We start from the raw sequence: 12,744 nt of genomic DNA, 5'->3' as shown, positions 1-12,744 counted from the left end.
CACTTGGATCTTGGGATACACTGGATGTTTGGAAGTATAGTCCTGAAGTCAAGAAGCCACTAGGCCCTGGAAGTAGATTCAACGAGATAGAGAATGTGAATAGGAATTATGATGGTCCCAGGTACCCAGCATCTGAATCAGAAGGGATAGTGTGAGCTGGGAGACAACTGGCCCTGGAGGGGGAGGATGGGAGATAGAGCAAATGTCTAAAGCTTGGAGTCTAGAAGGGGACTTCTCTTGCCCTGGTCTAAAAGGGTTGATGAGAAGAGACTCCTAGAAAAGTAGATTTGACAGTCAAATATTTATGGGAGTGAATGAAATAAAGAAAGCATAGAGGAATAGGAAAGATAAAGTATTAAAAGGTAATTTAAATTACAAATAAAAGGTCATTACCACTTGTTTTAATTTCAATTTTAAGTTCTGAAGTACATGTGCAGGTGTAGGATGTGCAGGTTTGTTACATAGGTATACGTGTGCCATGGTGGTTTGTTGCACCTATTAACCTATCACCTAGGTATTAAGCCCAGCATGCATTAGCTATTTTTCCTAATGTTCTTCCTCCTGCTTTCCCCCAACAGGCCCCAGTGTGTGTTGTTCCCCTCCCTGTGTCCATGTGATCTCATTGTTCAGCTCCCACTTATAAGTGGGAACATGCGGTGTTTGGTTTTTCTGTTCCTGTATTTGTTTGCTGAGGATAATGGCTTCCAGCTCCATCCATGTCCCTGCAAAGGAAATGATCTCATTCCTTTTTATGACTGCATAGTATTCCAAGATGTAGCTGTACCACATTTTCTTTATCTAGTGTATCATTGATGGGCATTTGGGTTGATTTCATGTGTTTGCTATTGTGAACAGTGCTGCAACGAACACACATGCGCATGTATCTTTGTAATAGAATGATTTATATTCCTCTGGGTATATACTCAGTAATGGGATTGCTGGGTCAAATGGTATTTTTGGTTCTAGACCTTTGAGGAATTGCCATACTGTCTTCCACAATGGTCGACATTACCACTTTTAAGAAGTAGATCATATAGTACCCAAATATGGAGCTGGGAGGGGAGGAAACAAAGGTAGCAAGTGCAGTGTACCCCTACAAGAAATGTATCAGAAGAAAGAAGCAGCTACAGGAAGAACTTACAAAGATCAAGAATTAGGGATTTTTTTAAAAAAATAATAAAGGGTTAGTTTTTCTTGTTAAAATGTCTCGTTGCAATAGTGAAAGCTACCCAAAAAGCAGATTAAAGGGTTAAAAACCAGATGTCATTTAGAACAAGGAGTTTAAATGATGAAGCCTAGGTTTGTATACATGAGGGAAAAAATACAAATGAGGCAGAAATATTAATTTTTATGAAAAATGTAGCTGTACTGACTACCATTAATGTCAACATTAATAAATAGTTTCTGTGAAGGATGCAGTTTATGTTATTTCAGTCAATACATGGAGTTGATTGTCTAAGTACTGGCGTGTCTAATTTTATATATGAATCAAGAATGTCTATCCTGGGAAGAAAAGTCAGCAATCATACTGTGAACCCAGTTCTCTGCTCAGAGAAGAGTGGAAGAGCATAAATTACACCCAGCCATGGAACAGCCACACTCAGTGTATTAGACAAGACACATATGTGTAAATAACAAAAGACACTATAGAATCATCAATAGGAAATTGTAATTATTTTGGTGATAAACAAAATAGGGATATCAATGTAGCTGGGCTGGCAGTCCAGAGATCCTAGGGTTTTAGCTTAGTTTGCTAGATTGTTTGTGAATCAGGATAAAATATTCAACTCAGCCTTAGTTTCTTCATTCATCATGTTGAACTGTGGATTTTTATGATCTAAAGCTCTGGAAACTTTTGTTCAAACAATGTCTTTCTGGGAAAGGTAAATAATTAAAATGATGAAAGCAGTGCTGGATTAAAGTAGGTGAGAGCTCCAGAACTCTGTTGCTCACTTTACTTCCCTTCCCATTTCTAACTCTCTTTCAAAAGCCTTCTAAGTGTCTCTATGTTGCACAGTTGGAAAATATTTGAACTAGATAATCTCTAAGAGTTATTCCAAGTATAAAATCCTGTGACTCTACTAAGTCAGGTACAGCTTTGCAGATGAAGTGGCGCTTGAGTGGGCCTTTGAAACTAGGCCATATATTTGGATTAGTGGGTAGGAAGAGTGAAGATATTTAAAACAGGAAGAAGAGCATAATAAAAGAAATAGTGAAAGGAATAATACTGGTTTCCTTGGCAGAGGATGTGTGGAATAATAAAGAGACTTTTCTAACTAAACTGCAGGGATTGTAAGGTAGAGCTGTGGGAAATAAAATTTAAGTGCAGGGCACTTGCTTTTCATATGAGAGAAGTGTTATTCCTGGATACTCTGCATAACTTAAAACTCAAATAATTCAAAACAAATTTTCCCAAAGGGGGAATGCATTTTTGGAACTTAAGAATTTCTAATTCTTTAGTATATATTTAGTATATATTTGCTTTGAAATTGCTTTTTACATTTTCTTTATTATTTTGCTGAGGACTCTTTCCTACATTAATATTGGTGGTTGTTTGCTTTTCTTCATAGTGCTTTATCACATCATATGTCTATTCCAGTTATTAACTTTATTCTTTTTTTCTCAGCACTAACTTTAGCAGCACCATTTAATGAACTTGAGTAACACTGTGCAAGGATATGAAAAACAAGATTAGAAATGATAATAAGAGTGCTTGCTTAGATTCTAAAACCAAGACTCACTTTCAGAAATTCTGATACAAAAAGTAATCGATAATGGTTCTCCTAATACTGACAAAGGAGAGTTTGTGTTTCATTTTCCTAGTGGCGTGGGTGATGACAATAACATAAACACAGTTTGCAATTAACTATGTTTTCAAATTATGCTATTTTGCAAGAATTATATAAATTGTATTTCTCATCAGTTCAAATTTGGCATGAACATTTCTTTAATCCCACAGTTTCATAATTTACAATCTTACTTCTGTGTATTGTGAAAATGGTCTGAGCATAGGGAATGTATGCTATTTATCTTTGTAATCCCTGAGGTATCTTAGCACTCTGCCTCTCAAGAAATACAGCATCTGCTAAATGGAATTGATTTGTTCCACAGATAGTTTGCCCTGGTCAGAGGTAAGATTAGGGAGTGGAAATTCATAACTTAGGTTCTCCAGATCTGGTTGCACGCTAAACATAAAGGAAACACAGAGTAAATGCTTATTGATTTCTGAACTAGGAGGGTGGGCTTTTCTAACCACACCAATTTTAGCCATTGCTATATCTTGTAAAGCTATAAAGGATTGATTAAACACACTGACTTGTTACTGAGCAAGATTCAAGGAAGATGTGTGTCTTGGACAGGGAACAGCTAGAGACTTTGTGCTCAGTTAGGCTGGGATGACACATGGAGAAAAACATATGGAGTCAAGGGTGACTGTAGCCAAGAAGAAAGGTGAAGCAGAGTGTGGAGCAAAACATGCAGCTGGAAGCAAGTGGCTGACTACAGCCCAAAGTGCTATAGCTCTGTCTAGGCAATGCCAAAAGTCTAGGTGAGGAGTGGAAAAATCAAATCAATCATCAGGATGGTTCAAAACATCCCGATGTGTGTTGTCATCAGGGCCATCACTAGGGGTATGTGGGGATAAGGCAAATAGTCTTCCCACACTCCCCCAGCCCAGATATTTTTATTCAGTTGAAATCATCCTGGAAATGGAGGCTTAAATAAAACTAAGCCTTCAAAGAGCTCTGCATATTCAATCTACAAAGAGCTTATGTAAAGGTGGGGAGTAGTAATTCGTCTTAGTGCCTTAGGGGCCCTAAGAACCATATCAGGGTTTCAAATTGTTAGATTCTAGTGATAGAATCAGATATGATACATTATAAATGGTTGAATAATTCATTTTTAAATATGAATGTTATCTAGTACTTTAAGCCTATTGTCTGAAAGTCAATTAAGTGGGTTTATCCAGTACATAATGTCAGCAGAAATATAGGAAAGCAGCTATAAATGAATGGAATTATTTGGAATAGTTCAACATAGGCCTGTACAATGTGATAATTAAAAGTAAATCTTAAGGTCAAACACAGGGAAAATAAGTACACCCTCAGAAATGAGGTGACAGATTTCTTTTTTTCAGAGATCTCTATGACTAGTTTTCCTGAGGCCACAGGCTGTGACTTGCATATCCCTAGAATATTTGGTTTGGCCAAAATATGCATTTGGAATGAACAGTAGTAGATAAGAGAAAGACCTTTAGCCTTTGATTTGGCCACTACAGCACTCATAATCAGAATTTATTTCCAGGTTAGAGCCTAGATTCCCAAGCCAAACTATCCAGCATACATTTCAGTTGGGAATAAGGGTTACATTTCTAGGCTTTCGGAAACACTTGACGAGATCTTTGAGTGAAGCGGATACAGAAAGCAGAAGATGAAGGTGGGAACACTGACATTTAGAGCGCAGAGGGCCAGGCATGTATAAGAGCTCAGTTTCAGAGGCCACAGGAATATGTGCAAGTCCCTATCAGAAGTGAGAGGGCTCAGGGGAGAACTTGACACTCTTGGCTTTAATTATTGGATAACTCTATTTTTTATTATTATTATTATACTTTAAGTTTTAGGGTACATGTGTACAATGTGCAGGTTAGTTACGTATGTATACATGTGCCATGCTGGTGTGCTGCACCCATTAACTCGTCATTTAGCATAAGGGAGGCACTGCACCAAGTATTGTTCCAGGTGATAGGAAAACAGCAAGGAACAAAACCAGCTTTCCTGTCCTGTGGGACTTAAATTCTAAACAGGGAGATAGGCAATAGATAATCAAATAAAAATGAAAAGACACATGATATGTCTCATTTTTATAGAAGAAAAATCAAGAGGAGTAAGCCAAGGAAGAGTAAAGGATTGTGTACCTGGAAAGGTGACTGTTAAATTGGAAAATGATGATTGTGTACACTGGTATGTACTACTCAGATTGTATCCAGAAACTTTTTCTAGGAACCATTTTGACCTACTAGGTACACGAGGCATTTCTAGATACAATAACAGATAAAGATATCACTCAATTGAATCCTTATTTTGCATTGAATCAGACCTGGTTGAAGAGGGAATTGCTAGTTTTGGTCTAGATGGGTTGAGACATGGAAATGGCAACTAGTATTTTTAAAAATGCTTTAAAAATTGTGATCTTATACACTTCTAGTGAGAATGTAAATTACTACAACTTTTATGGAAAGCAGCAAGGAGATTCCTAAAAGAACTAAAAATAGATCTACCATTCAATCCAGCAATCCCACTACTGGGTATCTACCCAAAGGATAAGAAGCCACTATATGAAAAAAACACATGCACACACATGTTTATTGCAGCCCAATTTGCAATTGCATAGATATGGAACCAACCTAAATGCCATTGACCAATGAGTGGATAATGAAAATGTCAAGGAATACTACTCAGCCATAAAAAGAAATGAATATGTCTTTTGCAACAACTTGGATGGAGCTGGAGGCCACTATTCAAAGTGAAGTAACTCAAGTAACTCAGGAATGGAAAACCAATTATTGTATACTCTTACTTATAAATGGGAGCTAAAGTATGTGTATGCAAAGGCATACAGAGTGATATAATGGACTTTGGAGACTTGGAAGGTGGAAGGTGGGATGTGGGCAAGGGGTAAAAAACTACATATTGGGTACAGTGTACACTACTCAGTGACAGATGCACTAAAATCTCAGAATTCACCACTACATAATTCATCCCTGTAACCGAAAGCCACTTACACATTAAAAGCTACTGAAATAAAATAAAATTCTTAATTCACATACCGTAAAATGTGTACATTGCTTGATTTTAAGCATATTTACAAAGTTGTGCAACCATCATTACTAATTCCAGTACCTTTTCGTTACCCCTGCAAAAATTCTATACTCATTAGCAGTCACACTCCAACGTCCACTCCCCTCATCTCCTAGCAACTACTAATCTACTTTCTTTCTCTATGGATTTTTCTCATATCAAAGGAATTATACATTATTTGGCCTTCTATGTATGGCTTTTTTCATTTAGTATAATTGTGTTAGTGAGTTTTCACGTTGCTGATAAAGACATACCCGAGACTGGGCAATTTAAAGAAGAAAGAGGTTTAATGAACTTGCAGTTCCAAGTGGCTGGGGAGGCCTCACCATCATGGTGGAAAGCAAGGAATAGCAAGTCATGCCTTACATGGATGGCAGCAGGCAAAAAGAGAGAGCTTGTTCAGGGAAACTCCCCCTTATAATACCATCAGATCTCATGAGACTTAGTTGCTATTACGAGAACAGCACAGGAAAGATCTGCCTCCATAATTCAATTACCTCCCACTGGATCCCTCCCACAACATTTGGGAATTCAAGATGAGATTTCGGTGGGGACACGGCCAAGCCATTTCTTTCCACCCTTGGCCCCTCCCAAATCTCATGTCCTCACGTTTCAAAATCAAACATGCCTTTCCAACAGTCCCCCAAAGCCTTAACTAATTTTAGCATTAACTTAAAAGTCCACAGTCCAAAGTCTCATCTGAGACAAGGCAAGTCCCTTCTGGCTATGAGTCTGTAAAATCAAAAGCAAGATAATTACTTCCTATATACAATGGGGGTACAGGCATTCGGTAAATACAGCCATTCCAAATGGGAGAAATTGGCCAAAACTAAGGGGCTACAGGCCCCATGCAAGTCCGAAATCCAACAGGGCAGTCAAATCTTAAAGCTCCAAAATGATCTCCTTTGACTCCATGTCTCACATCCAGGTCATGCTGATGCAAAAGGTGGGTTCCCATGGTCTTGGGCAGCTCCACCTTTGTGGCTTTGCAGGATACAGCCTGCTTCCTGGCTACTTTCACAGGCTGGCATTGAGTGTCTGTGGCTTTTCCAGGTGCACGGTGGAAGCTGTCAGTGAATCTACCATTCAGGGGTCTGGAGGACGTTGGCCCTCTTCTCATAGCTTCACTAGGTGGTACCCTAGTCTGGACTGTGTGTGGGGGCTGCAACCCCACATTTCCCTTCTGCACTGCCCTAGCAGAGGTTCTCCATGAGGGCCCTGCCCCTGCAGCAAACTTCTGCCTGAGCATCCAGGCATTTCCATACGTCCTCTGAAATCTAGGCTGAGGTTCCCAAACCCCAATTCTTGACTTCTGTGCACTGGAAAGCTCAACACCACATGGAAGCTGCCAAGGCTTAAGGCTTTCACCCTCTGAAGCCATAGCCCAAGCTCTATGTTGGCCCTTTTTAGCAATGGCTGGAGCAGCAGAGACACAGAGCACCAAGTCCCTAGGGTGCACACAGCATGGGGACCCCGGGCCCAGCCCAGGAAACCATTCTTTCCACCTAGGCCACTGGGCCTGTGTGGGAGAGGCTGCCACGAAGACCTCTGTCGTGCCTGGAGACATTTTCCCCATTGTCTTGGGGATTAATATTTGCCTCCTTATTACTTATGTAAATTTCTGTAGCCAACTTGAATTTCTTCTCAGAAAATGGGATTTTCTTTTCTATCGCATTGTCAGGATACAAATTTTCCAAACTTTTATGCTCTCCTTCCCTTATAAAACTGAATGACTTTGACAGCACCCCAGTTGCCTCTTGAATGTTTTACTGCTTAGAAATTTTTTCCGACAGATACTCTAAATCATCTCTCTCAAGTTCAAAGTTCCACAGATCTCTAGGTCAAGGGCAAAATGCCACCACTCTCTTTGCTAAAACATAAGAAGAGTCACCTTTGCTCCAGTTCCCAACAAGTTCCTCATCTCCATCTGAGACCATCTCAGCTTGGATTTCATTGTCCATATCATTAGCAACATTTTGGGCAAAGCCATTCAACAAGTCTCCAGGGTGTTCCAAACTTTCCCACATTTTTCTATCTTCTTCTGAGCCCTCCAAACTGTTCCAACCTCTGCCTGTTACCCAGTTCCAAAGTCGCTTCCACATTTTGGGGTATCTTTTCAGCAGTGCCCCACTCTACTGGTACCAATTTACAGCATTAGTCAGTTTTCATGCTGCTGATAAAGACATACCTGAGACTGGACAATTTAAAAAAGAAGAGGTTTTATGGAGTTACAGTTCCAAGTGGCTGGGGAGGCCTCACAATCATGGCAGAAGGCAAGGAGGAGCAGTCACGTCTTACATGGATGGCAATAGGCAAAAGAGAGAGCTTGTTCAGGGAAACTCCACCTTATAATACCGTCAGATCTTGTGAGATTTATCTGCTATCATGAGAACAGCATGGGAAGACCTGCTCCCATGATTCAGTTATCTCCCAAAGGGTTCCTCCCACAACATGTGGGAATTCAGGATGAGATTTGGGTGGGGACACAGCCAAACCATATTAATAATGTTTTCAAAGTCCATTCATATTACAGCATGTATTAGTGCTAAATTTCTTTTTATGAATTTTATTCCATTATATGGATGTATCATATTTTATTTATCCATTCAGCAGTTGATGGAAGTTTGTTTCTACTTTTTGGTTATTATGAAGAATGCTGGAATGAAAATCCATGTACAAGTTTTTGTTGTATATATGTTTTCAATTATCTTAGGTATATTGCTAGGAATGGAACTGTTGGGTCATATGGTAACTCTGTGTTTAACTTTTTGAAGATTTGCCAAACTTTTCCAAAAGCAGGTGCAACATTTACAATCCTGGTTGCAATGTATTGAAGTTGAAATTTCTCCACATCCTCCTCAACCCTTGGTATTGTTTGTCCCTTGATTATGGCCTTCCTAGTGGGTGTGAAATGGCATCTGATTGTGGTTTTTAATTTGCTTAATGACTAATGATGTGGAACATATTTTCATGTACATGTTGGCTATTTGTATATCTTTGTAAAAATGTCTATTCAAATTCCTTGTCCATTTTTGAATTGGCTATTTGTCTTTTTATTAATGCATTGTAAGATTTCTTTATATATATACTATACATATAAAGTATATATAAGCTATATGTATACATGTATATTTTATATGTGTGTATATATATATCATATATATTTTTAAAAATCGTGATTATAAAAATCCCCACTCCAGGTACCCAGAGGTACAAATATATACAAGATATAATTGGCACCAAGTGGAAGAATAGGCTAAGAATGAATCTACCTAAAGTCAATTAGTCAAGATAGATTGCCAATGCTGTACTCTAACAGGTCAAAAGGATCTCCCAAGCTGAATCCTTGTCAAAATTTACTAGTTGCACCCATAGAATGCCAGAACATATTTCAAATCATATGTCTGATAAGCCTAACATCCAAATACTGTCCTGCACCAAATAAGGACATTTCAGTCATTGACTAACCACATATAAGACAATGGTCCCATAAGATCATAATACTGTATTTTTACTGTACCCTTTCTATGTTTAGATACACAAATACCATCGTGTCACAATTGCCTAAAGTATTCAGTGTAATAACATGCTATACAGGTTTGTAGACTCAGAGCAATAGGCTATACCATATAGCCTAAGTATGTTGCAGGCTATACAATCTAGGTTTCTGTAAGTACACTTTATGATGTTTGCAGGAGGACGAAATCGCCTAACAATGCGTTTCACAGAATTTTCTCCATCATTAAACAACACATGACTGCTTATATCCTATTATCGTTGGCTTTGTCCTGATCACAAGTATGAGGAAACTTTGGAGGACACCAAATTTAAATGTGAATGATGACATTAATAAATACCATTTTGGACAGGTAAGGTGGAGCAAAAAGGAGTTAAGGAAAGAAAATGGCAAGGAGAAGGGAGGAAAGAGCAGCAATAAAGACAAACCACATTTCCCTTATATGTTTACTTAGGATGCAGCTTTAACCTTTCTTTGACCATAAATTAGATCCACTATTCATGACTTTGTTTGCAAAATTACTTCCATGCCACACTTACGATGCATAGCATTGTGATTATATATAATGCTAGATGTGTCTTTTTTTACAGAGAGCTGAAAGATGTAATAATTTATTTTGTTCATGGAGAAAAGTCTTTTCTTATAGGTGCAGAGAAGGCCATTTCCCATCTAATTTTCTTATTTCAGATTAATAAAGGAGAGTATTTATATCCAAATATATATCTACAATTTAACCTAATAAGCATAGACATTGGAGTCTTTAAGATGATTTTGCCTGAGTGTCATACTTAAAAACAAAGCACAATGAAAATGGGGAAATTGGCCAGGTGAGGTGGCTCACACTTGTAATCCCAGCACTTTGGGAGGCCAAGGCGGGTGGATCACGAGGTCAAGAGTTCAAGACCAGCCTAGCCAAGAGGGTAAAACCCCGTCTCTACTAAAACTACAAAAATTAGCCAGGCGTGGTGGCAGGCATCTATAATCCCAGCTACTCGGGAGGCTGAGGCAAAAGAATCGCTTAAACCCAGGCAGCAGAAGTTGTAGTGAGCCGAAATCACGCCACTGTACTCTGGCCTGGGTAACAGAGTGAAATTCTGTGTCAAAAAAGAGAGAAAGAAAGAAAGAAAGAGAGAAAGAGAGAAAGAGAGAGAGAAAGGAAATGGGGAAATTGACATTTGTTGATTATTTCTTAGGTGCCTGGGGTCTGCCCATCCTGTAAAAGTGGCACTGACGCTACACAATCTAGTTTAATCTGTATCCCTGTATTATCAAATCAAATCATTCCTCAATCCACTAATAAGATAATCAAGCTGGTAGTTAGCTTTGTGCAAATAATATACCTTCTGCTTTACTAAATCATAGAGTTTTTAGATGAAATACATTCTGAGGAGATAGATGTGTTCATAATAGGTAGTCAAAAATAGGGTATGTTTTAAAAGGTAAAATGCTACTTTAAATACATAGGATTATTGAGAAAATTCAAAGAGATACTGTGTCCACTCAAAGCTTTTTTTAAAAAGAGAGATAATAATAAGACTATATTGATTTTATAAAATGGATGACTAAAGAGTAAAAATGAAGATTCTATAGTATTGACTCGACACAGCAGAGGAATCAAGATGGTCTCCCTGAACTCCTTTTATCTGATAATGTTCCATAGCACTTACCCCAAATCACCAAATTTTTAGCCAGTTTTTAAAAAACGAACTTTGACACTTGGCAAATTCATGAGGAAGACATGTATCCAGGTTTTATGGCCCAGCTCAACATTGGACTGTCTTGGGCCTAGCACTCTTTCGGCTCTTTAATTCTCTGAATAATGTCCGCCTATACAGCTGAGAGAAATTTGTCATCTTCTCAGTTGTTATAAGTCATCACTTTCATGCCCTACCTACAGCACATGTGAATTGTGGGGGCTTAAGGGAAAGTGCGCTTGTGCATGTCAAATTGCCTACAAGAATGGACATGGGGGTTGGAGGCAAGCCCTTTCCCACCTCTCCAAAGAGCAGCAGAGATGAGATTCCTATAGTTATTTATTGAACTTGGATTTTCAATCATTGCTGAGGTATAATCATGCCTTCTCTTGTTTTGTTTTTTTTCTTTTACAATTACAGTACTTCATTATTGCCACAGGGGGAACTGTTGGCTTAATTTTGCTTTGGAGACACTGCTGCTGAAATTATTAAGCTAATGATTTATGCCCTGTGTGATACAGCAATCTCTTGTGCTTAAAATGGTTACTATGTTTTGTTTACTGTTTATAACTACCAGTGGTTGTGCCACAAGAAACCTCTGCCAGCTTGCAGAGTTTATTTATCCCTGTGGATCTTTAGAAACCACTGATTAATATAGAAAAAATTTGAATGGTTTATATTAAAAAAATCCCATAAGCTATGAATTAAACCACTGTGCTCTGCTATATAGGAAGAAAAGTTAAGTGAGAATGAACAATGGATGTCAAAACCTACTGACTCTCATATTTGCTTCTGATTTTATCAAAGTGGAAAATATGAGTACTTTTCAGGAATACAGTGCTGTGACTCCATCAGTTTTGGGCAATGAGATCACCAGTATTTCCCCTTGGGTGCTGCACATTTTACCATATTAAGGAACCAATTTGCTTAGAGAAATGTTGCACATGTTTAAAGGCTGTTAAGTTTGATGGCTGGCAGAACTCTCCCATTTAGCCCTGAGGCTGGGCCTTCGTGAATGAAGGCTTTACAACTGGCCTGCATTTTTTGTTCTGAGGGCTTTTTGTAACCAAAAGCTTACACGGGGCAATCATAGGGCAGGGAGGGACATGGTTTGCAAGTGTTGATTTGTTTAAAATGGCAAAATGGTTCTTATACAATGTTTAAGTCTTGACACTGCTCTTTCACCAAGAGAAGCAAAGAAAATATCACTGTTGTTTTGGGCAGCTTTAGCCCAATTCCACACCTTCAGTCTTAAGCATCACTTGCTTACACTTCAAGTATACCTTCCTGCTGGTTTCTTAACCTCATCAGTTCTTTTGGCTTGGTTTTGACTTCAAACTAGTTCTCCACCTCTCTCTTTTGGACAGCTCCACATTTCTGTTCCTCCTCTGATCAGCCAGTTCTGATTATTCCCAGGGCACCTTTTCTCTATGGTCTCAAGTGATTCAGTCAAACAAAGAGTACCCTTCCCTGAGCAGACCTTGGCCATCACACACAACCAGCCATCCCAAGTACAAGACAATGCTGACATTTTTGCAACAAAGCTGAATGTAACGCTAAAACTTTTCTCAGTCAGGGATCTGTAAATGTGATGAATGTAGACAACTCTGCCTAAAAGACAGAACTTGAGCAATTCAGTTTCTAAGCAGGAAAGTGAGGGACAGACCTTAATTATGGG

General features: G+C 38.7%; 1 annotated feature.

Moving 5' to 3' along the window:
• Window positions 12,138–12,338: a silencer, noted in NCBI's record as "peak701 fragment used in MPRA reporter construct". NCBI's record gives its function as "represses an SCP1 promoter by STARR-seq MPRAs in K562 erythroleukemia cells {active_cell/tissue: K562}" and the evidence as "EXISTENCE:reporter gene assay evidence [ECO:0000049][PMID:32103011]".

Source organism: Homo sapiens, chromosome 1 (assembly GCF_000001405.40).
Source record: "Homo sapiens chromosome 1, GRCh38.p14 Primary Assembly".
In the NCBI taxonomy this organism is placed as follows: Eukaryota; Metazoa; Chordata; class Mammalia; order Primates; family Hominidae; genus Homo; species Homo sapiens.
This window is presented reverse-complemented; position numbering and strand designations above follow the sequence as displayed.